Here is a 25,580-nt window from a genome sequence, read left to right as displayed (position 1 = left end):
GTTAAGGATATGAGTTGCAAATGCCTTCTTTCACAAGTATTTTCACTTTTGATGTGATTTGCTTTGTTTTTAAAAACACAAAACCACTTTTCTTCTTATGAAGTTGAATTTAATCATTTTTTTCTTCTATGTCTTTGGGTTTCAAGTCATGTTTAGGAAGGCCTTCTTTCTTCCAAGTTTATGAAAGGTTTCAAGTTTGTGATTTTCTTTATTACATTTAAGTATTTGCTCCATCTGGAGTTTATAGTAGGATAAGGACAGGCGGGAATGGCGTTGCTCCTCCAGATGGTGGTCCAATTGTCCTAACCACATTTTAAGAATGAGCGCTTTTCTCCAGTGATTTGAGAGGCCCTTTATCATATACTACATTCCTCTGTTTGTCAATTTTTAGATTTCGATTCTATTTTTGGCTACTATTGTTCATATTTCAATATAAACTTTATAATCAGGTTGTCTTGTTTTCAAGAAGTCTTTCTGGCATTTTTATTGGTATAGCATTACATTTACATATTAATTAGGGAGTGTTGATGTTTTATGATGAGTCTGCCTGTTATATCCAGCGGGAGGAAGGAGTTATGATGAGAGGGCTTTAGGACGGTCTAGAAATGTCCCCAGATCTAAAGCACTCAGTTTATCACAAGACCAGGCATCACAAGACCTTAGTGGTGACCAAGTTCCCTTCACTGCATGTAGCAGGCACTCCGTGAGCACCTACCTTGTGCCAGTATGTGGCTGGGGCTGCTGGTCGCCTTACATGGACTCCTTCCATCTCTTTACTAATAAGATATTTTAGCAGAACGCTGCTGCTTGGCTAAACAGCTCCAATTTTCGGTCCTTTTCATAGCTAGGTTTGGTCATGCAAATGGAGGCTCATGTGAGGCTTCTGAGAATTCTTCTTAAAAGGGAGGGGGTGTTGCGAAGGCCCATGGCGTGTGTTGATATGATATAATTTCTGCCCAGTGCTCTGAATGCCAAAGTGAAGAAATTCAATGAAGTGCAGGTAAAGGAGTAACTATGACTCTCTTAAGTAGCTGAATGCCTTGTCATCTAATTAGTGATGTGCATGAATTAATGAAGTGGAGATTCTCACTGTCCCTATCTACTATCCGGTGAAACCACAGCCAAGGGAAGAGTCTTGGTGGAATTGGCGGGGAAAGAAGACCTTGTTGAGCTTGACTCTAGTCTGGCATGGTGAAGAGACACGAGAGGTGTAGAATAAGTGGGAGGCCCCCGGCGACCCCCCTCCCCTTGAGGGAGCGGGGTGGGGTACACTGTCCTTGTAGGCCCCTGATGAAAAAAGAAAAAGAAGGGAGCAGGGAAAACCCCTCTTTTTGTCCCTTCCTCCTTCCAGATGCCTGCAACATATATCTGGTGGCTGGAACTTGGTAGACATCATGGACCAGAACACTCCATGCTTAGATGGTGGTTAGTAGAGGTAGTTGGAGTCAGGGTCTCTGGGACTGAGGAGCGGCCTCAACTCTTGACTTCTGTATTAGTCAGGGTTCGCCAGAGAAACAGAACCAATAGGAGATCTATATGTATATCTATATAGTCTATATCTACATCTATAGCTAAACCTATATCTGTATGGAATTGTCACAATTATGGAGGCTGAGAAGTCCTGCTACCTGCTGGCTGAAAGCTGGAGACCCAAGAGTAGGTGGTAGTTTAAGTCCAAATATGAAGACCTGAGAAACAGGAGAGCCAGTGGTGTAAGTCCCAGTTCAAGTGCAGGAGAAGATCAACATCCCGGCTTGAGGATAGTCAGGCAGAGAAAGCAAATTTCTCCAAATCCCACCTTTCACTCTATTCAGATTTGGATGAGGTATGGGCTGGATGAGGCTCCCACCTTGAGTGGGGGTGGAATCTGCTTTATTCAGTCTAGTGATTCAAATGGTAATCTCAGCCAGAAATATCCTCACAGAAACTCCCAGAATAATGTTTGATCAAATACCTAGGCACCCCATGGCCCAGTCAACTGGATACATACAATTAACCACCCCAACTTCCCACTGGTTTTGACCACTGTCCCTCCCTCCCTCCCTCCCTCCCTCCCTCCCTTCCTTCCTTCCTTTTCTTTGTTTTCTTTTGAGACAGAGTCTCACGCTGTTGCCCAGGCTGGAGTGAGGTGGTGCAATCTCGGCTCACTGCAATCTCCGCCTCCTGGATTCAAGTGATTCTCCTACCTCAGCCTCCCAAGTAGCTGAGATTACAGGCGCCCACCACCATGCCTGGCTAATTTTTGTTAGTAGAGACGGGGTTTCACCATGTTAGCCAGGCTGATCTCAAACTCCCTACCTCAAGTGATCCACCCACCTCGGCCTCCCAAAGTGCTGGAATTACAGGTGTGAGCCACCACGCCCGGCCAACCACTGTTATTTCTTCCACTTTTATTCAACATGCTGCTGATTTTGACCCTTCTTATCCAGAGCACAAAGGTAAAGAGAAGAGATCGTCATTGATGGGCTCATCACACAGAGGCACTGGAGAGACCAGCAAGCCAGTGTGGCTGGCATGCGATGCTCCACCAAGGTCATCCCTGGTGCCATGGGGGTGGGAGTGGTGGGAGGGCAGGGCAGGCTTCAAGGAGGGCCTGATAGGTGAGAAGGGACCTGAAGGCTGAGCAAGAGTTTGTCAACCAGAGAACACAGCATGGCCTTCCATGAGGAGGAAGCAGCACGAGGAAGGCAGAGAAAAGACTATGGTTTACTTTGAGGAACTGTGAGAAATTTGGGGTACCCTGATTGTGTGTAGAATAAGGTCTAGGTCACTGGTCAGACTTAAAACGTATGAAAAATGACAATGACTTGGGGAACAATTTGTAGTACAATAGTTATAGCAACTCAGAAATATACTTCTAAGTGTAAAATAAAAGTTAATAAAAAAAAACGCAGCAATTTGTACAAAACATATAGCTCTGGTTCTCAACCTAGTTTCCCCCCATTTAGCACACACTCACATCAGTGACAGAGGGACAGTTAGCTGCAGGTTCCCTCTCCAGGTGACCATTTCAGCCTCTGCTGAAAGTGTCTGCAGATTGAACGAGCTGAAACCTGATACACCCTTAGGGAGCTGTGCCCTCTCTCTCAACTCCCCTCCTCTCTCTCAAGAGACGCATTTGAGTGCTGCCCTCCGCTGGAGTGTACCTATCTGTAAAGTGAGGAGTACCTGTATTGCTTTGTATCCAAAGAAAAAGACTCACTAATGTAAATGCAGATTTTAATAAATAGATATGTCAATAAAGGCACATCATTTATGTGCATATATATACATATATATATATCCTAAATGTGGCCTGGCTCTTCTTGGTTCAGGGTACAAGTGGCAGATTAGCAATAAAACCCCAAGTTTGCTCAAAAGAGTCCTCCTGTGTGGTCAAAGGACCAGCCTGCATCATCTAATGTGCTTTTACTGTGGACAGGAGGGATGGGGGCTGCATGCCCAGTGGTTTCCCTCATAGTTCTGGGCTCTGGGAGTCCACACTGCCTGGATTCACTTCCAGCAGGTTCCAGGGTGAGACTCTGAAGGCCATTGCTGCTGCTGCTGTGCTCACCCTGGGAGTATATTCTCTTCCCCCAGGCCTTCCTCCACCCTAGGAGTAGGTGCAGATCTAGCAAAAGAGTTGACATCTCCACATCACAGCTCCAGTGGTGCTGTGACTGTTAGAAAGATATGAGAATCAGGGAGAAGTGGACATGCCCATGGTTTACTGGCCATGCTCTAGAGACCAGCCTCTCTCACAACCGCCAACCCGGAGTATTTCCAAGCCTTTCTATTGTCCCTGGAATCCAGGCCCAAGAACATGAGGCCCAGAGGGAAGAAACATCCCATTTCCCTGGTCTGGGTGGGGGATAACCTTCCTAGCACTTCCCAGAATGACTGACAGAAGGTAGCTTCATTCCCCTTGGGGGGAAATGCCCACCGCTACCTACAGGGACAATATAGTCCTGTCCTAACACCCTGATGCCACTTCTCTCAGTGCATTTGGCCTGGATGCACTGGAATCAGGTGGCTCACATGTGAAAGAAGTAGATTCCTGGGTCCCTCCCAGACCCATTAAATCAGAACATGGGAATGGGGCCTGGAGTCCGCTGACGAGGGACTGCCATGCCAATGGATTCCTTGGAGTCAGAAGCTTTGGTGTTCAGTATTTTTTATGGAGACATCGGTGGTGCAGTTTGGACTAAGCCTCACCTGACAGGTTCCTCCCATGTGAGGAGGGGCTAACTCACCATTGTTGAGTCTGCTGGGTCTCAGCTCTTAACTTCCTCTAAACAGAACATCCACAGAACAGGGACATGCACGCTCACAAAGACCTGTGACCATGCAGGCAAAGTAGGCTCACATCTTGCCTGGAGGCTCTTCCCCTCAGGCAACCTGATCTCGGGGGGGATGAGCTCTGCCTACAGCTGGGCCCTCTTGTACCTGATCACAGAACAATCAGGCTTTTTAGGTCTTAGCTTCTCAAATGTCTTTATTTCATAGATCTGCAAATAGTCTTTGCTTTTTCATTTACATAACCAAATGGTTGGGTCAAGTGGTTTCATTAAAACAAGAGTAGTCTGCACACACTATAGCTGTGGACAGGAGAGCCAGGGGCCTTCTGGGAAGGGTGACGGTGGAATTAATGTGGAAAATGACTCTCAGACCAAAGGTGTAAACTGGAGTGCCCCCTGCAAGGAGCATCCCATGCTCCTTGATCAGAAGCAGGTGATCATCACAGTAACGGGCTACAAATGTGGTTGTTTTGGTTTTTCAGTTGGCACCAATTTTTTTTTTAATTGAGCCACCATACTGGGTGTGGTGGCTTGTGCCTGTAATCCCGGCACTTTGGGAGGCTAAGGCAGGAGGATTGCTTGAGCCCAGGAATTCGAGACCAGCCTGGGTAACATAGGAGATGCCATCTCTACCAAAAAATAAGAAAAAGTATCTGGGTATGGTGGCATGCACCTGTAGTCTCAGCTATTCGGAAGGCTGAGGCAGGAGGATTGCTTGAGCCCAGGAGTTTGAGGCTGCAGTGAGCTATGACTGTGCTACTCACTCCAGCCTGGGCAATAGAGCAAGGCCTTGTCAAAAAAAAAAAAAAAAAAAAAAAAGATTGAGCCACCAAAACAAAAAGTTAACAAGAGAAAGAAAAATGATAAATCTTGACATATTATTGGGCTATTTTAAAAATGCCTTTCAGTAAAATTTTACTGTTGGCCAAAAAGCAAAATTGAACCAACATTTTAAAACCAAAAGTCTCTAGTAAAAATCCAGATTTCCAGCTTTTCTGGAACAATTCAGAAGATTGATACCCTGCACAGCAACATCACTAGAGCTGAGCTGCCGCCACCGCTGTTAGCCTAGCTGCCTGCTCCCCACGTCCCTGGCACTCACTACGCTGTCCACCCTGTTGTTGTCTTACACCAGCATGGTGCCCTCAGTCTGCTGCTGCCTGACTTCGGAGGCCTCGGGTGTGTGCTCTGATTTGCACGGGGGAGAAGTGCAGTGCCCCGTCCTATGAGTGGGAACATCCACTCACAGCTGCCACTATAGCGCCTGATTACACCACTGTCTCATAGGAAGCTCCCTTCCACCAGCATTTTCAATATTCAGACAGTTTGGGAAGAATAGTTCCACACGCCTTATGCCCGAGACCTGGGCTAGCACTTTCTTGTCTTTTACCTGGATTTGGCCAACAGCTGTGTTTCTAGTGGAAACCTTACACCCCCAGGGCATTTGTTGATTGTCACCAGTTGAGATGTTCTCTTTCTCTAACTGTAATGCTTGCAGGGCTGGGGATGAATGTCTGAAGCAGGGGACCAGAGTAACAAATCCCAGTGTGATTTTGTTCAGGACATGTGTCCAGTCCTCCCTCAGCACCATGTGTTCAGTCCTCCCTTCGTCTCCACACCACTGAGATGTCCCAGCAACCTACCTGGAGAGCTGATTTTTCACACAGTTCCCTTGTATATGGCCCTCTTGCAAGGATTGTCAGGTTTTTTTGTTTTTTTGTTGAGACAGGGTCTCACTGTCACCCAGGCTGGAGTGCAGTGGTGTGATTGTAGCTCACTGAAGCCCTGAACTCTTGGGTTCAAGCTATCCTCCCACCTCAGTCTACCAAATAGCTGGGACTACAGGTGCATGCCACTGCACTCAGCTAATTTTTTACTTTTTGTAGAGATGAGGTCTCACTGTGTTGCCCAGGCTGGTCTGGAACCCCTGGCCTCAAGCAAATGTCCTTTCTTGGCTTCCCAAAACACTGGGATTACAGGTGTGAGCCACAGCCTCCAGCCAATCATCAGATTTTAAGGGCAATCTTACCAAGGGAGCAGATATAGCCAATAAGGCCCCAGGGAGGAGCCCAGGAAGGCCCCTTGAAAATCTATTCTTTTTAAATTTTAGAAGTAAATGGAAAAAGTTTAGAGACTCCAAATTTCATTTAAAGATAATTAAGGGCCAGGCTTGGTGTGGCTCATGCCTGTAATCCCAGCACTTTGGGAGGCCGAGGTGGGTGGATCATTTGAGGTCAGGAGACCAGCCTGGCCAACATGGAGAAAGCCCGTCTTTACTAAAAACACAAAAATTAGCTGGGCTTGGTGGCAAGTGCCTGTAATCCCAGCTGTTCAGGAGGCTGAGGCAGGAGGATTGTTTGAACCCAGGAGGCAGAGGTTGCAGTGAACCATGATCATGCCACTGCACTCCAGCCTCGGTGACAGAGCAAGACTGTCTCAAAAACAAAAAAAATTAAGACACAGCTATGCTTCTAACTTTATTTTAAAATACACTTTCTTTACATGTTAATCATAACGACATTGACTTGACATCTTATAAAACTTAAAATGTGATTTAATCAGTGGTATTTTAAAAGCATGAAGGCGCCCGAATGTCTAGCACGTTGAAGCACAGGGCACTTTTGCCTTTGATGGGGAGCAAGCTGTGTCTCTTGCTTCTGGGCAGGGAGGTGCGTGCTCGAGAGAGGGAGGCAAAGGAGGAGGATGACAGCACATTCTTCAGAGATTTCCATAGAGAAAGTTCCTCTTAATCAGTGACAGAGGAGGATAAGGCCATAGACAGGTGGCTTCTATGTCAAAATCTTTATTTTATTTTCTGAGACAGGGTCTCACTTTGTCACCCAGGCTGGAGTGCAGTGGCGTGATCTAGGTTCGCTGCAGCCTCTAGCTCCTGGGCTCAGGTGATCCTCCTGCCTCAGCCCCTCAAGTAGCTGGGACTACAGGTGCATGCCACCAGGCCTGGCTAATTTTTGTATTTTTTGTAGAGATGAGGCTTCACCATGTTGGCCAGGCTGCTCTCGAACTCCTGTGTTCAAACAAATCCACCCACCTTGGATTCCCAAAGTGCTGGGATTACAGGCAAAAGCCATAGTGCCCGGCCCTGATTTTAAGTTTTTATCTGAAAAGTACCCCTAACACACACTTACATACAAAGTGAAAATCAATTCCACCACTAAAAACATTTACAATACGGAAGGCAGAATAGCCCTGCAAACTTCCTCCCTCTACCTCACCTGCCCCCCACACCCCCCAATCCCACTGCTCAGAGGAAACCTCGGTGATTTTTCCCAGCAATGCTGATTCAGACATCATTTGCCTCTGATCCAAACTGAAACATAGGGCTCTGGGCACAGGCATCTCCCAGAAGCTTCTCCGGTATTTCTTAGAATCCGTGTACTGTCTCGCCTTACCTGCCCTTCAGCTCTGGTCATGAAGCCAAGGAGGGCAGGTCTTCTTCACTTGTAGTGCTACTCTGAAGGCACAAATACAACCTGCGGGGTTGAGGCGGATGCTGGAGGAGGGCATGGGGCTGCCGAGGGAAGCACTTGTTACCAGTTTAATGCCGGGGTTGCAGGGCTAGAGGAGACAGGATTCCACTGTGTTTGGAGATGAAGTTCCCACTCCAAATGCAGACAGGGGAAGCTAGCAATTTCAGTTCTCAGCATTGAAAAAGTTTTGGCCATGAAAGTAGAAATCACAGCTCAAGGGAGAGATTTCCTGATTCAAGATAAAATGCTCAGACAGTCAACAAATCATGCGGGAAGAGGCTCTATGTAAAATGTTACGTTTAAAAAAAGATTCAACATACCTGCCCATGTACCCCCTGTATCTAAAATAAAAGTTGAAAAATTTTTAAAAACTTACAAAATTGTGCATAAATCTCAAATGGATGAAGTCAATTTCTATATGTCTATCTCTTTATGAATATTCAGACATAAACAGAAGAAACCCAAATTGAAATATATAAAAATGTTACTAAAGTTGTACTTTATTTTTACCTGTATTTTTCCATTTTTCTTTAATGAGAATGGATTTCTCTTGTAGTAAAATGTTATATTGAAACAAAGATTGAATGCTACATCTATAGTAACTTAAACTGGGTTTTGAAAAAAAGGGACTAAATGTAGGGTTACAAAAGATATGTGAAAACCAGCACCAGACACTGGGAGGAAGAATCTCTTTTGAGCCTCAGTTTCTCAGTAAGGAGATGCTTAAATAGTTCCATAGAGTTCTAAGTGATTCACAATCCCTGAATCAACTCTGACAAGTGAAGCTTGGGCTGGGGTTTTAAAAATTATATCCCCTACTTTGTCCTGTGTGAGAAGGAACTTGTGCAAGCAGTTTCATGGTCCCCAGTGGTCTTTGAAGTTCTGGGGTGCAGGAGGGTTTGAGGCTGCCTGGGGCGATGGTTAGGACTGCTCTCAGAGCAGGTGAAGCCGCAGGTCTCTGAGCGATCCTGAAAGCCCTGCTCCTTCAGCACAGGTGCCCCGGGTCCAGAGTTTTCTGTTAGGGAATCTGGTTTTCTCCCCGTAGGTGTGAGGCCTTCTTACCATGACCTCCCATTTGACGTCATTAGATCAATATCTGCATTTCCCCCTCTCTGTTACTCTATAGTTAAGAATATATACTACACATTGGTGCGTAAGAGTGGAAAGTAAAAATATCATTTCGACATGACTGATTTTCACACTGAACATAGTGAAAACCCTCTTTAACTCTATGGGGCTGTGTTCTACTCCAGAGGGACCAGGGAACCATCTCACATTCTGCTGAGGACTCTTTTGCGCCCTCCTCAGACGATATTAATGCAAAAGAAGGCAGGTCATTTTCTTGTTTTAGATGAGAGAAATTGAAGATTTGATTTTGGCTAATTTTATAATAGCAATTTAAAATATTTATTCCCTCAGGAGTCAGAAATAAATCTGTAGGAATAGCAAGGTTTCCAAATATTAACATTTGCTTTTGGTTCAGACTTTCAAAAGCCTTTATTCCCACTCTTCCCCCAACCTCTCTTTAATTTCACCTGTTCTGAGCACTTTGAGTACTAAACAATGGAATCTCAGATGCTTCTGGCAACTATGTGTTATTAGTCAGGAATGGCACCTTGTTATTTGATTGCATTTTATTGTTTCCTTCAGCTCAATGTGTACCTGATATTGGAGGGCTCTCCCTATGGGTTGAGATTGAGACATGTTATAAATGATGTGGTTTTTATTATTTCTGTGGGCTCCTGTGCAGCCAGGTGACAATCCTGAGGCTGCGTAAGCTGGAGGTCAGGCCCGAGTTGCCCTGTTCTGACTAGCAGAGCCCAGTGTCCACACCGTGGCACAGCCACTTCTGCCTGCATCATAGAATGGCTGGGGCAGCTGCTGTTGTGCCGACTTGAGATGCCTGTTCCATGAGGAGATCAGTAGGCATTCAGCACGGCTATCCTGGCCTTTTCACACAGTGGGTCTAGTTTACCATCGCCTCCTAGGGAAACAGATATAATTGTCTTTTGGTTAGCTTTATATACAATTTGTTATCATATCAGACATACCTATGGCTTCCACCCAGAGTGCATTTTCAAAGGCCATGGGCTGGTAAAATGTTAACTAGTTTTTAATAGAGTGTTAGTGGATTGCAAAGCTTTAACTTCTGAGCACAGAGAGGCACGCACAGTGCCAGCCTGCCAGGCCAGAAGCTCTCATTTGAATGTTGCTGATAGTGTCATGCACTGCTGGCATATCAACTCAGTGTCTTAGCAAGTCTAGATAGAATAAACAAGTGGAAAAAAAGCAGCTTCGAAAGCAAATAATAACAGAATACATATTATTAAAGTACAAAAACCTATTATCCCTTAATTCCATCACATCCCTCGAAGTCCAGGGCTTCACTTCATTTTCCTTCCTGTTTCCAATGTTTGGGGAAACTCGTAGCATCACACACTTTACTGTGTGGTTTTGGATACTCTCCTGTGTGTGCCACTGAAAGCACAGGGCTTTCAGTACAAGTTTCAAACTCAGAAAGAAACCCAATTTGAATCCAGGCATGATACACTGATCATTTCAACTAGAAATTGAGGGACTCCTCAGAGGAGGCAAATTGCTGGCTGGAAGCATCGCCAAAGGGCTTACCGAACTCCAAGTCCTTAATGTTGCAGTGGAAGATGACTTCTTCATTCACCATGAGTTCCACCACATTCCAGTCTTCTATCTTCTCTAGGATGACCTCATGTCCATCTATGGCCAACACAGCTGGGAAGGAAAGAAAAGGAGGTGAGTGACATGGGGTCAGACTTCAAACTAACCTGACTGGTAGCAGTCCTCATGATGACAGTAGCTTGTCTGCCATCTAGTTGCTCATGGGTATCACTCAACTGCCCTGGTAGGCACTTTCTGGGTGTTGGCCCCAGGTGCCCTCACCTTTGCTGGGAAGCACAGCCAGAGGCCTGAGTAATTCAGGTTTCAGTTGCGGTTTGTCCTACACCAAGGTGATCTGTTAAACAATGAGCTTCCTCTAGTAAAGGGCTATTGGGCTTTCCAGAGGCTCAATCTTATAGAGACCACACTCAGTGCTGGAGAAGACTTGGGGGAATAGGCAACTTCTTACTCTGCTGATGAAAGTACAAATTGAACACCTTCTGGAGGGCAATTTGGCAGTACGTACCAAAAGCCTCAAAAAATGATTCTAATCTTTAGTCCAGGAAATTACACTTAAAAGAAAGCTTCCTAAGGAAAAAAAATACAGGCAGATTTTTGCAACAAGATGTCTTTTCTCCATTATTATGACAGCAAAATACCGTGAATAACTTACATATCCAATAATGAGAGGACGGCCAAATAAACGGTGGAATGTCCATGTGATGAGATTTTATTTGGACATTTATAAAAATGTTCATGAACTTTTTTAATGGCAAGAAAAATACATGCAATATAAGCAAAAACTTAGGATACAAATATATATAATACATGTTTAAAATATATAGTCAATATGAATTCAAATATGTATGTAAGGATGAAGAAAATACCTATTGATTATCTGTCTGTGGTGAGATTATGGGAAACTTTTTTCTCTTTATTCTTTCAGCATTTTCCAGATTGCGTATAATAATCTGAAAAAAAGTTTTTTAGAAAAGCTAATGAACTAACTTTTTATTCTCATCTTTGGAATCTGCATTTTGATTATCACTTACATTCAATGGCTCCTTCCCCAGAGAACAGTTATGGAATAATTGTCAGATTTAATCTTTTTATTGTGGAAATGCAAAGGTGTGTGGATTAGAAGAAATGATGTACATTGGACAGCCTAGAGCTCTATTTTTTCCAATGTATTTCTCCCCACTTTCCTGGATATATTTAACCCATAACATCAATATTAGAGTGGGTGTGCCGATCATTACCTTTGTTGGTCTTCATATGTTGGTGAGAATTTTGTTTAGGATGGAAAGAGAAAACAGACGGGGGCATATTCTTTAAAGTCTTGCCATTTCAATCAGTTTTACACGGAGTAAAGCAAACAGTTATGTCAGTTAATTGCATTTAATTACAGAGACAATTGCTGTTTCAAAATGTTGGTGTGTCCACTTCTTCATCTTTCAATCAGTTCAAGAACATCCAGCCCCAACTGTGAACATTTTAATTGCGCGATTTTAATTTCACTTCTGGAAAGGAACTTCAGAAAGAGACTCAGCAAGGATCTCCATTAACAAGACAGCACTCCCTGGGTACCCATAGGCGGCCCTAATTGACCCATGTCAGCTAATGCGTCTCTAAAAAAATGCCTGCATCTTTTTCATTGGCATATTTATGATATTGCATCCTGTTTAAGTGTCTCGTTCTTAAACGTCTTTGAAGAAGGCACTCAGTTTGGACCCACGACTTGTTTAAATGAAGCAGTCCAGCTCGTTTGGAAAGGCAGCTGATCATCTAGGGAGACATAAAGGCAGTCCATGGGCAGAGATTTCTGGGATCCCACACTCCCTCAGCAGCAACCCCTCAGGACGGCGGAGCTGCATTTGTCTGAAGACACTCCTGGAGGATGGACTTCAATTTGATAGGAAGAAATCAGGAGCAAAACAACTTCTCCATTCCCACCTTACACCCGCACCCCCCAACCTCCACCTGTGAGGCAAGGTGCTGCCACTCGGCAGTTAACACCCAGTGCCAACTCTCTAAGGCCTGGAGGAGTGAGGGTGCATGGACTGTGGGCAAGGAGCAGCCCTACGGGTGGAGGCCCCAGGAGGCGAGCACACTGTAGCCTGCCCCTGGCCCTCCTGCAGGGCCTGCTGACTGAGCCTCACGTGGCATCTGAGCTTGGAGTTTAGAGGACAGTGGCACTTATACGGCATGGTGTAGCTCAGAAACAGGAATTGATCCACCGAATCACTTACCCTATTGAGTTGAGGGGTGCCGAATAATGGGGGTCCACCTCATCTTCGAGCAAATGAAGCCCAACAGGAAGAAACCCTCTTAAGAGACACACCACTCTTCACTCTGCCCTCTACAGGGTTGCAAAGCACAGGCTCTCGTGCTCTTAAAGGGCATGTGTCTTCCTCACTGACCAGAATTATCTCCAAGTGCCTGGTTTTAATAGAGGCTCACTGAAGAAGCAAACACAGAATGGCCCTGGGCACTGCCCACGACACTTTTGGACCCACAGAGTGACCTAAGTCTGATTCTTGCTAAAGCAACAAGCTACCTCAGAGTCTACATTGAATATTCAGCCCCAGGACATTCCCTTCCCATCACTCTGGGAGGTGTTGAGCTGGCTTGGCTCTAAGGTGGCCAGTGCAGGCTTAAGGGATCAAACACTAGACACCCCGGAATTCCTGCAGCTCATCCAAATGCCACTTCTCTACACGGAGCACCCATTTCCTCCCATGAGCTGCTGTGGGGTTGTCTAGTCAAAGAAAGGTCAGATAAATATACTCCCTGAAACAAAGCCTGTGCGAAGGCAGTGGGTAAACTCCAGCATAAATCAACCAGAAGCTATAAGGCCACCTGCAGTCCGCCTGCCTCTTTGAAGTGGCACCTCATTCTTCAAGGGGGATCTAAATAAACGAAAGGGATATGGAAAAGGCTCCCTCCTTGCCGGTGCTGGTGGAACTGCACAGCATCTGCGAATGATTTAAATGCCGCTGGTCAGGAAGCAGAGGTAAACAGACCTCTCTCCCTCCTCTACTCAGCACAGAGGCATACACACACCCCCGCGCAAGGGCCGCTGATGCATAGCTAGCACAGGAGAATGCCACACAGAGTGTCTCAGCTACGTGGGGTGGATTCTATTTTATGGATTGGTTTCAATTCCTTCCAAGCCCTTTGAGTGGGTCATTTGGCAAACTTAAGTAGAGCATGCAAGGGGCAAGTGTGGCCAGGGAAATTACTTAGAACTTTTTGTTAAGCATTAGTTTAGCTTCACCAGCATTGAGGCCATAGTGGAAACATTTTGCTGAGTTATTATAATTCATGGATAATAAAGAAAGAACAAAAATTTTCAGATTGCTAAAGGCATGGTAAGTTCAGAAAAGATCAGGCCTATTTCTAAAGCCAGCAGGGCTTCGGGAAATGATAAAGAGCTGTAATTTTAAAAGAAACACAGAGAATTCAGATGCAGATTTTACAGAGGAGGGCCTGCAAAGGTACCACTCTCTGCCTGCTGTGCGGTGAGTGCTGGATCTAAAGTTGTGGGGGGGTGCAGATGCTCCCTGCTTTGCTGCGGTGAACACCCTGGCCCTTGTTGGCTGCCGGTATTACATGACTTATCATTCATCGAAACACAGAACTGACTTTACAAATCAACCACCTACTGATACCTTGCAACCCTCAAGTCTCCTTCAGCCATAAAAATGCTCCTCTTGCTCTTTCTCCAAATACTCTTCCCTTCCCCTATTGTGGGAAGAGCCACCTGCGCCTGCTGCCTTCGCTTTTTGCTGTGTTTCCACCCGCTCACCTCCTGCAGGGAAGCCTTCAGCTCACCAAGTCCAGAGCCTGCCGTCTCAGAGGTCAGGAAACCATCGCACATTCAATGGCTTCCCAGCGCTCCCCATCCCTCTCGGACCCACCTCCTTTCTTGTTTCTTTAAAATACTTTTGATGGTAAAAACAAATATGTTTTTTGATCTCTAAATTTTAAAAATCAAGTTATCAATGTAATGAAGATTCATAATACTTTTTTAAAAAAACTTTAAAATTATAGAAAAGGACAACATTTTAAAAATGACCCCTAATTCTTCTCTCCCTCTGTCTTTTTCAGTGGCAGTAAGACCATGGCATTCAGGACAATGCTTTGTTCCCTTCGCAGTGCATCATGTGCCCCAGCCCTGTCACACACATAGAGTGGCTGCATTCTTCTTCAGCGCTGTGTAGGATTTTACATGATGTACGCACTACAATTTATTTACCCATTCCTTTTTCTGATTGTTTCCAATTTTTCGCTATCGCTGAGAATGTTGTAGAAAACATTCACAGCATGCATCCTAGTGCGTGTGTGAGGTTTGTTTTTTCTTTTATAAGGAAGATATTGAGAAATGGAACAGCTGGATTCTACAGTATATGATCACATTTTAACAGACACTGCCAAGTTGTCCTCTAAAGGTGACAGTTCAATTTACTCTCCCGCCGAGGGTAAATTAGGAAAATACTTTTTTTCTCAGTCTTTCATCAGCCATGAATTCTTCTCTCCTAGAAATCACCTCTACTCAATAGTTTGGAGCCCACTGGTAATTTTCTTCCTGAAATGCCATCGCTTGCCCCCTTATGCCTCCAGTTCTCTCCTCCCTCTGCCCCTGCTCCTCCACAGGCTGCTCCTCTTAACACACCCTGCCCTCGGGGGGCTGTCTCATCATCCTGCCATCTCCAGTCCTGTCTTTCCTTGCTTCCTCCGCAGTCTTGCCTCCTGTGGTTCTAGCATTCGGCTTTACGCAGGTTGATTTTCTTAACTAATGTTTATTCTTACAATATGCCAGGCACAGCTCTGGGCTGGGACCCAGCAGAGAACAGAACCAGAAAAGAACTCCTGCCCCTTCCCTCCTCAAAGCATGCCTCCAAGTGGGGGAGAAGGGTAACAAGGTATACAGGTGAGTGCGTGCTGAGGTAGGTAATTACGAGCAAGAAGAAGAAATAAGGAGGGAAGGGAGATCAGGAAGAGGGAGGCAGAGGGAAGTGTTGACATTTTTGTTGGGATGCCCAAGGAAGGCCTGCCCATGAAGGTGACTTTTGAGGAATATCTTGAGACTGAGAGAATGAAGCTGAAGACCACGTAGGAAAGAGCGTTCCAGGCGGAGCGGCTGTGAAGCCCTGAGGTGGGAGCTGGCTAGGATCATTGAAGGACTGCAGGAGGTGGCTGTGGCTGCAGCAGCGGGCCAGGGAGAGGATAGGCAGAAGCAGGAGGGGGTGAGATGAGGGGGTGAGATCAGGGGGGCCATAAGGAGCCTAGAGGGCCATGTGAGCCTTTGGCTTCTCCCCTGAGTGAGCTGGGGGCCCCTGGAATGTTCTCAGGGGTAAAGGTCATGCTGTTTCATGTGATTCAGGTTTACCGGTATCAGCTGGCTGTGTTACTGAGAACAAACTGCAAGCAGATGAGGGTTGCAGGGAAGTCAGGAGGCCAGGGCAGTAATCCAGGCAGGAGATGATGGCGGGTGGACAAAAAATGCAGAGGGGGTAGTCAGGAGGCCTAAGAGGGATTAATTCTGGGCGTACTTTGAGGGCAGAGCTGACAAATTGTGTTGACAGACTAAACAGGGAGTGTAAGGGAAAGAGGAGTGAGAGGTGCCTGCAGGGTGTCTGGCCTGAGAAACTGCAAGATGGAGCTGCTGTGAGCAGTGGAGAGGGAAAGTGGGCAGAGCTGCTGGTGGGGGTGAGTGCTAGGGGTCTAGCTGGAAATTTGGGGCATACTAAGTCTGAGATGCCTACTCAACATGGCAGTGGCTACGAGAGGTCCTGATTAAAGACATAAATTTGGAAGTTCATCGCATATAAATGTCATTTAAAGTCATAGCTACTCCTGACTCAAATCTCCTGCCTTCATCTTTCTTCCAAACTCCAGAACGTAATTTCCAGCCACTGGCTTAATATTTCTTAATAGTTCATTCCACCCCACACCCTGCCATTTCTCCTTCTTAAATTTCTTCTTCCAAAATTGGACTCTTAAGGTACATCCCAGATCTCATCATCCTTTAGCTCAAGAACCTTCACTGGCTTCCTGTTGCCAAGGATGAGACAGGCTGGACTCTCCTGTTGCACATCCTCCTCCAACCAGACCCAATAGCCTGCTGCTCCCCAGAAGTGCCCAGGTTGCCTGCACCTCCCCTTCGCAATGAGCCTTCCTCAGGAACAATAAGAACTAACGCTTGCAGAGCCCTGACTGTGTGTACGCATGGAGTTAATTACTTTACATGCACTTGCTCATCAGAATCTCACATTGGTGAGGCAGGGATTCACATTCCTCTGTTACCAACAAGGAAACTGAGGCTCATAAAGGTAAAACCACTTGATTTTCACCTTGACTGCAAAGCTACTAAATGGTGGAGCCCAATTCAAACCATATGTGTTGACTTCAGAGCCCTTGTGCTTATCCTCTGCTCATGCCATCTCCCTGCCAGAAGTGCCAAAAATGTAGGCAGGAGATAAGTGACCAGGGAGAGGTGACAACTAAAGCTGACATGATTTGTGGACAAACTAGATGGGGAGTTTCCCCCCCAATACTGATAAGTTGTGTATTATAACAAAATGTTCATTTATGCATCCTGCTTTAATAAAATTTTTGGTATGTAAATGATCTAATGGAACTCCTACAATCATGCTGGTTGTGGCAGGAGCAAGGAACTTATGTCAGCAAAACAGCAGAGCAGACAGCTCCAAACTCCCATTCCTCTGCAGATACATAAAAAACAAAACAAAACCCAGAAACAGTCAGAACCAACATTGTCAAAACTCTGGAAAACAGTCAAAGGTCTACAGCAACCAAGTGAATACTGAATCAAAGAAAAGGCAACTTTAAAATGGTAGGAAAGCTTTGTGGCATGTTTGCCTGCCCTTGCCTCACCTTTTCTCTGACCTGGTGGCAGTCTTGAAGATAGCAGCCTGTGTTCCCAGTATGGGACTCTGGTTCTTGATTCCAGAGGGAGGTGTACCAACAGGGAGTAGGTCACAAGGACCACATGCTTCAAAGGGCAATAAAGATCACAGGGCAAGGCAAAATTAGGATTACTGATGAGAGTCTATGTCCCGCTGTGCACTCATTGTCTTGATAAGCATCTTAACAGGAAACAGGGTTCGAGAGCAGACAACCGGTCTGACTAGAATTTACCAGGCTGGAATTTCTCAATCCTAGTAAGCCTGAGGGTACTGCAAGAGACCAGGGCGTATTTCAGTCCTTATCTCAACCGCATAAGACAGATACTCCTAGAGCAGCCATCTATAGACCTACCCCCTGGAATGCATTCCTTTCCCAGGTTCTCAATTATTAATATTCCTTGCTGGGAAAAGAATTCAGCGATATTTCTCCTACTCACACGTCTGTCTACAGGCTTTCTGCAAGAAGAAAAATACGGCTGTATTCTGCCCGACCCCGCAGGCAGACCTCCTGTTTATCTTCCCTCATTCCCTGAAAATCACTGTTATTCTGTTCTTTTTCAGGGTGCACTGATTTCATATTGTTCAAACACACATATTTTACAATCAATTTGTAAAATAGTGGTCCTGAGGTGACGTACATTCTCAGTTTATGAAGATAACAGGATTAAGAGATTAAAGTAAAGACAGGCATAAGAAATTATAAGAGTATTGATTGGGGAAGTGATAAATGTCCATGAAATCTTCACAATTTATTTTCAGAGACTGCAGTAAAGACAGGTGTAAGAAATTATAAAAGTATTAATTTTGGGAACTGATAAATGTCCATGACATCTTCACAATTTATGTTCTTCTGCCTCAGCTCCAGCTGGTCCCTCTGTTCAGGGTCTCTGACTTCCTGCAACAACCCAGTCTGAGGAGTAGAAAGGAAAAAGAATGAAGAAAAATGAACAGCCCTGGAGACCTGTGGGATGCCCTCAAGTATAACAACATATACCTAGTGAAAGTCCCAGGAGAAAAGGAAATAGAGAAAGGGACAGAAAGAATATCTGAAGAAATAATGGCTGAAAACTCCCCAAATTTGATGAAAGACATGAAAATACCTATCCAAGAAGCTCAACCAACTCCAAGCAGGATAAACTCAAAAAGTATTATACTAAGACACATTATAAACAAATTGTCAAAAGACAAAGAGAGAATCTTGAAAGCAGTGAGAAAGAAATGACTCATCACACACAGATTCTCAATAAGATTATCAGCTTTCTCATCAGAATCCATGGAGGCCAGAAGGCAGTGGGATACATATTTAAAGTGCAGAAAGGAAAAAAACAAGAACCTGTTGTATTGGTCACAATTCTCCAGAGAAAGAGAACCAATAAAATATATGTGTGTGTAAGTGTGTGTGTGTGTACATATACATACACAAATATATATACATTATACACATGTACAGATGTTCCTCAACTCACAGTGAACTTAAGTCTTGATGAACCCATTGTAAGTTGAAAATATTTTAAGTTAAAAATGCATTTAGGGCACCTAACATACTGAACATCATAGCTTAGCCTAGTCTACTTTAAAAATGCTGAGAACACTTACATTAGCCTACAGCTGGGCAAAATTATCTAATACAAAGCCTATTTTACAATAAAGTGTTGAATATTTTACATAACTTATTGAATACTATACTGAAAGTGAAAAACAGAATGGGGTTGTATGGGTACTCACCATTAATGTACACAGCTGAAAGCATCAGCATATAGTCAAAAATCAAAAGTCAAACAATTGTAAGTCAGGGACCATCTGTGTGTGTGCGTGTGTGTGTGTATGTGTGTGTTTGAGAGAGAGAGAGAAAGAGAGCAGAGAGGTTTTAAGGAATTGGTTCACAGGCTAGGCTACAGACAGAGGTAGAGTTTCTATGTTGCAGTCTTGGGGAGAATCCCTTGTTCTTTGAAAAACATCAATGTTTGTTCTCTTAAGGCCTTCAACTGATTGAAGGAGGCCCACTGAACGTTTTCCCCTTAAGATCAAGAACAAGGCAAGGATGCCCACCTTTGCACTTCTATTTAACATAGTATTAGGAGTACCAGCCAGATAAATTAGGCAAGAAAAAGAAATAAAAGTCATCTAAATTGGAAAGGAAGAAGACTACCTCTATTTGCAGATTGCATAATCTTATACCCCAAAACTGCTAGTGTTCTTAAAAAAATGTTGTTAATGCTAATAAATGAAATTGGCAAAGTTGAAGGAATTAACAAAATTAACACACAAAAAGCAGTTGTATTTCTACACACTAGCAATGATTGATCTGAAAAGGAGATAAAGAAAACAATTCCATTTATAGTAGTATCTAAAAGAACAAAACAGGAATATATGCAAACAATTAGGTGCAAGTCTTATACACTGAAAACTATAAAAGTTGCTAAAATAAATTAAGAAAGATCTAAATAAATGAAAATGCATCCTGTGTGCATGGACTAAACGGCTTAATATTGTTAAAATAACAATACTACCCAAAGGATTATACAGATTCAATGCAATACCTATCACATTCCCAATGGTGTTTTTTGCAGAAGTGGAAAAACCTATCTTAAAATTCATAGGGAACTGCAAGGGACCTAAAATAGATAAAACAATCTTGAGAAAAAACTAAGTTGGAAGACTCACATTTCCTGATTTCAAAACTTACTAGAAAGCTACAGTAATCAAACTCATGTGATACTGACATAAGGATAGACATATAAAGCAATGGAATAGAATTGAGAGCCTAGAAATAAATGTTCACAGTGACTGATGTGAATGAACAGTCAGTTGATTCTTGACATGGGTGCGAAGACCATTCAATTCGTAAAGAACAGTCACTTTAACAAAAGGTCTTGGGATAATTGGATATCCATATGAATATCTTTTTAATGAATTTGGACCCTTACATTACACCATATACAAAAATTAACTCAAAATGGATCAAAGATCTAAATTTAGGAATTATAAAACTCTTAGAAGAAAACATGGGGGCAAATCTGCATAATCTTGGATTTGACAATGGTTTCTTTCTTTTTTTTAGACAGAGTCTTTTGCTCTGTCACCCAGTCTGGAATGCAGTGGCACAATCTTGATTCACTGCAACCTCGGCCTCCAGGGCTCAAGCGATCCTTCCACCTCAGCCTCCTGAGTAGCTGGGACTACAGGTGCGTGCCATCACACCCACCTAATTTTTGTGTTTTCTATAGAGATGGCTGGTTTCTACAAAAAGGGCTGGTTTTGAACTTCAAACCAGGCTGGTCTTGAACTCCTGGGTTCAAGTGATCCACCTGCCTCAGCCTCCCAAAGTGCAGGCATTACAGGTATGAGCCACCATGCCCAGCAGACAATGGTTTCTTAAACAGCATATCACAGGCAAAATAAGAAAAAAACAGATAAATTGGACTTCATTAAAATTAAAAATTTTGTGCATCAAAGGACACTACCAAGAAAGTGAAAAGATAATTTACAGAGTGGGAGAAAATATTTGCAAATCATTTATCTATTAAGGGTCTCATATTCAGAATATCTAAAGAAATTTTCCAACTCAGTAACAAAAAAAAGTGCAACCCAATTTAAAAAATGGGCAAAGGACTTGAACAGACATTTCTCCATAGACATACAAATGGCCAATAAGCACATGAAAAGATGTTCAACATCACCAATCATTAGGGAAATTTAAGTGAAAACCACAAGCTACCATTTCACACCTACTGCGATGGCTGTAATTAAAACCAAAGAAAATTGAAATCCTTGTGCATTGCTAGTGGGAATGTAAAATGGTGCAGCTGCTTTGGAAAACAGTTTGGTCATTCCTCAAAAAGTTAAATATAGAATTACCATATGACTCAGCAATTTCAGTCCCTTAAAACAAAGGGATTCAAACAGATATTTGTTTACCAGTGTTCATAACAGCACTATTCACAGTAGCGGAAAGGTGGAAACAACCCAAGTGTCTATCAACAGATAAACAGATAAACAAAATATGGCATATCTGCCACAAAAAGGAATAAAGTAGTATAATACATGCTGTAGCATGGATAAACCTTGAAATATTATGCTAAGTGAAATAAGCTACAAAGTAGATTGCAGGTTACCAGGGGCTGGGGGTGGAGGTGAGAGGTGAAGCCAGCTGGGCTTCTGGGTCGGGTGGGGACTTGGAGAACTTTTCTGTCTAGCTAGTGGATTGTAAATGCACCAATCAGCACTCTGTGTCTAGCTAGAGGATTGTAAATGCACCAATCAGCACTCTGTAAAATGAGCCAATCAGCACTCTGTAAAATGGACCAATCAGCAGGACATGGGCGGGACCAACTAAGGGAATAAAAGCTGGCCACCTGCGCCAGCAGCAGCAACTGGCTCCTGTCCCCCTGCGCCAGCAGCAGCAACTGGCTCCTGTCCCCCTCCACGCTTTGGGAGATTTGTTCTTTCACTCTTCATAATAAATCTTGCTGCTGCTCACTTTGGGTCTGCACCACCTTTAAGAGCTGTAACACTCACTGCAAGGGTCTGCAACTTCATTCCTGAAGTCAGCGAGACCACGAGCCCACCAGGAGGAACAAACAACTCTGGATGCACCACCTTTAAGAGCTGTAACACTCACCGCGAGGTCCCTGGCTTCATTCTTGAAGTCAGCGAGACCATGAACCCACCAGAAGGAATAAATTCTGGACACAGAGGGATAGGGTGTTGTTGCTTAAGGAATACAGTTTCTGTCTGGGGTGTTGAAAAATTTTAAAAAGAGAGAATAGTGATGGTTCCACAACATTGTAAAGATAATTAATGTCACTGAATTGTATGCTTAACATGGTTAAAATGGCAACATTTTAAATATATGTTTTACCCACGTTATTTTTAGAGACAGTGAACATAAACTAAAGGTAGATTATGAGGTGAGGGTGGGTAGGTGTGGCTCATCAGAGGGGGAGGAAGAGAAAAGTCACTTATTTAGGCTGTCTTCTTAGCCAAAACTACAAAACATTTTAAACATCACCATGCAACACTGCTAGGAATTGAATTGTTGCCCCCCTTCCCCCAACTTCATATATGGAAGCCCTAACTCCCAATGTGACTACAGGTGCTTAAAGAGGTAATTAAGGTTAAATGAGGTTATAAGGATGAGGACCCAATCTGATAGGATTAGTGTCTTTCTTCTTATAAGAAGAGACACCAGTGAGCTTGCTCCCCGCTCTCCCCATATAATCCCACCAGGTGAGGACAAAAGAGAAGGTGGCTGTCAGCAAGCCAGGAAGAGCGCCCAGAGCCCTCACCAGAAGCTGACCTTGCCAGACCTTGATCAGGGACTTTTAGCCTTTAGACTGAAAAAATATATTTCTATTGTTTAAGTCCCATAGTCTATGGTATTTTGTTTTGGCAATCCCAATAGACAAATACAAACATGGAGGTATTTGCAACAGAAATTTCTCTATCAACTGTTCTCTCACAGAAAGTAACTTCCTCTGCTGATTGAAATCCTACCCATCCTTCAAACTCAAACTCAAATGCCATCTCTTCCAGGAGGCTTTCCCTGATTGCTCAGCTAAAACTAATTTTTGTGTCCTTAGGCTTCAGGGTATTTTGCCTGGAAGACTCTTAGTTTGGGTCATAGGATGGGAGTTCATCAATGGTCATTCCTGGGCTCTCATCTCATTCTATATGTTCTCTCCAAGTCAATGACTCACATCTTTCTATCTCCATTTCAGACTTTTTCTCTGAACTCCAGAACAACAGAGCTGATTCAGCACCTCTGTCTAGGTAGCCGAAAGCACATGAAGCTTAATTCAGATGCTCCTTGACTTATGATGGGGCTAGGTCCCAATGAGCCCACTGTAAGTGGAAAGTGGGCTTAATACCTGGATAAGCCCATCATAAAGTGGAAAAATCGTTAAGTGGAACCATTGTAGGTTCAGATGTGCCTCAACTTAGGATAGGGTTACCTCCCAATAAACCCATGCTAAAGTCAAGAAGTCTAAGTTGGGGACTATCTGTATGACCAAAATAGACTGTTCCTTTGGAACGATTCCACATATTCCTCCAAATTTTGGTCCATCTTTGGTGTCTTTGATTTTAGTGGACAGTACATCCATCCATCAGCACTGTTTCAAGTCAGACACTGATTAGATCCGGATAACATTCTTTTTACCCTTACCTCCCACCTCCATCCTCTCAGGAAGTACCATTGCTTTCACTTTGATCCATGGTCTCCTTTATGGTCCAAGCTACTCTCATCTCAGCCCTGGACCACCCCAACAGACTTGTCTTCCTTGTTTCCACTCTTGCCCCCTCTAATCTGTTCTCCTCAGAGCAGCAACAGCTTCATCCCCTGCCTAAAACTTATCTGCGGCACTGCAGGATCTGGCCTGATTACCTCTCCAGCCTCATCCCCCATCAGTTTAACAAATATTAATACATCATTTATTGAATGCCTCCAGCCATTGCCTATATTATTAGTCCCTCTGCCTGGAAGGCATTCCTCTCTTTACCTGGTTAGTTTCTACTCATTCTTTAAAGGTCTACTTAAATGTGGGCTCATTTAAGGCTCCACTTAAATGAGCCTTTCCAGACCTCTCCCTCTCCCCTCCCATTATGGCTAGTCACAGGTCCCACTGTGGTTAGCTCCCATGGCACCACCTAGCCTCAGTCAGAGCTTAGGCACAGCTGTCATTTAGCAGTTAACAAGGAGATTACTTCAAGGACATTCATCACTGTTTAACAGTGTGTCCTCAGTCCCTGGAAGGGTGTCCAACACACACTGCGTGCTTAATAAAAGTCTGCTGCATGAACGATTAAGAGATGGAATACCAGCAACGCTACTTCCCAGCCATTTGAGTTGTGAAAGTCACTTAATATTCTTGATCCTCAGTTTCCCAATTCTTAAAGCAGGGTTATGTAATTTTTTCTATGGAGGTAATTTCTGTAATTTGCTGGGCACTGGGTGGGCCCACAGCTCACTCTTGGATAGAAGAGCCTTCCCACTCTTTTAGCCCAGCCCTGGAAGCCATAGGTTGCAACATCATCCTGGGGAAGACTTCCTGGAGAGGTGGCGCTTCGTGGGGGTCTGAGGAAGGCCTAGGCACAGGGCACCACCTGCACGGATGCTCAGAGGCTGGGGCCCTCAGGGGCGCACGCGGCGAGGAGGCCCACCTTGCAGGCCCTGCAGGCGGAAGGTGTGGTGCTCCACCGGTAGGCCTGCCGCGCTGTAGGGCCCATAGCGCAGGATGACCACTGCGTTCTTGGGCATCGCCAGGCCTCCGCCGCCGCAGAGGCAAGGGAGAAACACACGCTGCTAAGCAACCTCTCTTCCGGCCCGGGCGCGTGGGCGTCGCTACGCGCCGGGCGGGGCCGGGGTGGCGCTAGGGGATCCTCCCGGCCCCAAGCTGCTCACGTGACCCTCAGCGCCTGGTCCGCAAATACGCGCGTTTGAGCTGGTGTGGCAAGTGTTAGTGATAAATAACAGCAGCAGCCAGGCACAGTAAGTTCGTGTCAGGCGGCGTGCGAAGCATTTTCCCTGCGTTATCTGGTTGAATCAGTTTACCATCCCTAGGAAGTATTTTATGTTTTTTGTTTACAAAACCGAGGCTCTGGGAGGGCAAGTTGCGGTCCCAAGAGTGACAGGGGTGTAGTATGGATTGGAAACCCTTGCATTTCTTCTATTTTCTTGCCTCTTTTTGATTGATTGGGAGTATTCGTTCATCATTCTTCTTCCCCCACCTTCTTCCCCCGGCCCCTTCTGTCACCAGTTAGGCTATTTGGTGGAGCCAAAACTGAATTCGTCCAATTCCCTTTTATTTGCTCAGTTCTGCTCATTGGAATTTGGACATAAAAGACATCCACCACTTCTAGGCATGGCTCCTAAAAAGTCTCCTCCACACCTGCTGTCTCCCTCTTCTTATCGGTAGCCAGATACGGGATCCCAGGGAGGACCCGAGGCTCCCGGGGAGACAGACCCAAAACGTGGGAGGAACCTGGACCACTGAGTAGCTGCGCCGAATAGAGCCCCACCCATCTGCATTAGTTGGTGACCGAAGCCAGAAGGAAACATTTATTCCATAACCACTGAGATTTTGGGGGTTGTTTATTACAGAAATTAGCCCAACCTAACAATCGCAATACCCTTGCGATTACAGCATTTCTTTACTTTCTAAATATTCAATTGTAGTTGATATTTTTACCCTCCTTTTGAACAGTAAAGGATTTTAAAAACCCTTTCCCACTAATTCTCCCAACGTATG

The 25,580-nt window shown here is 44.5% G+C and overlaps 1 protein-coding gene across 2 annotated transcripts in view, besides 2 other annotated features; it reads right to left on the bottom strand.

Moving 5' to 3' along the window:
- The window catches only part of C10orf53 (chromosome 10 open reading frame 53), a 30,611-nt gene extending 5,975 nt beyond the window's left edge, over positions 1-24,636 (bottom strand). Inside the window, exons 1-3 of one of the 2 annotated variants that reach the window (NM_001042427.3) lie at positions 24,493-24,636; positions 10,394-10,513; positions 6,755-9,749 (exon numbers count right to left, since the gene is read on the bottom strand). In NM_001042427.3, coding sequence (NP_001035892.1) covers positions 9,685-9,749; positions 10,394-10,513; positions 24,493-24,589 — 282 coding nt within the window. In that variant the 5' untranslated portion in view covers positions 24,590-24,636 and the 3' untranslated portion in view covers positions 6,755-9,684. Of the gene's footprint in view, positions 1-6,754; positions 9,750-10,393; positions 10,514-24,492 lie in introns of those variants that run through there. The other variant, NM_182554.4, reaches the window with a different exon arrangement.
- Positions 13,243-13,844: an enhancer, noted in NCBI's record as "OCT4-NANOG-H3K4me1 hESC enhancer chr10:50898489-50899090 (GRCh37/hg19 assembly coordinates)". NCBI's record gives its function as "activates a minimal SCP1, AML or CMV promoter by ChIP-STARR-seq in primed H9 embryonic stem cells {active_cell/tissue: H9 hESC(primed)}" and the evidence as "EXISTENCE:reporter gene assay evidence [ECO:0000049][PMID:30033119]".
- Positions 13,845-14,447: an enhancer, noted in NCBI's record as "OCT4-NANOG hESC enhancer chr10:50897886-50898488 (GRCh37/hg19 assembly coordinates)". NCBI's record gives its function as "activates a minimal SCP1, AML or CMV promoter by ChIP-STARR-seq in naive and primed H9 embryonic stem cells {active_cell/tissue: H9 hESC(naive and primed)}" and the evidence as "EXISTENCE:reporter gene assay evidence [ECO:0000049][PMID:30033119]".
- Positions 24,637-25,580: the final 944 nt, after the last annotated feature.

Source organism: Homo sapiens, chromosome 10 (genome assembly GCF_000001405.40).
Source record: "Homo sapiens chromosome 10, GRCh38.p14 Primary Assembly".
In the NCBI taxonomy this organism is placed as follows: domain Eukaryota; kingdom Metazoa; phylum Chordata; class Mammalia; order Primates; family Hominidae; genus Homo; species Homo sapiens.
The sequence above is the reverse complement of the archived record's forward strand: the minus strand, read 5'-3'. Positions and strand labels throughout refer to the sequence as shown.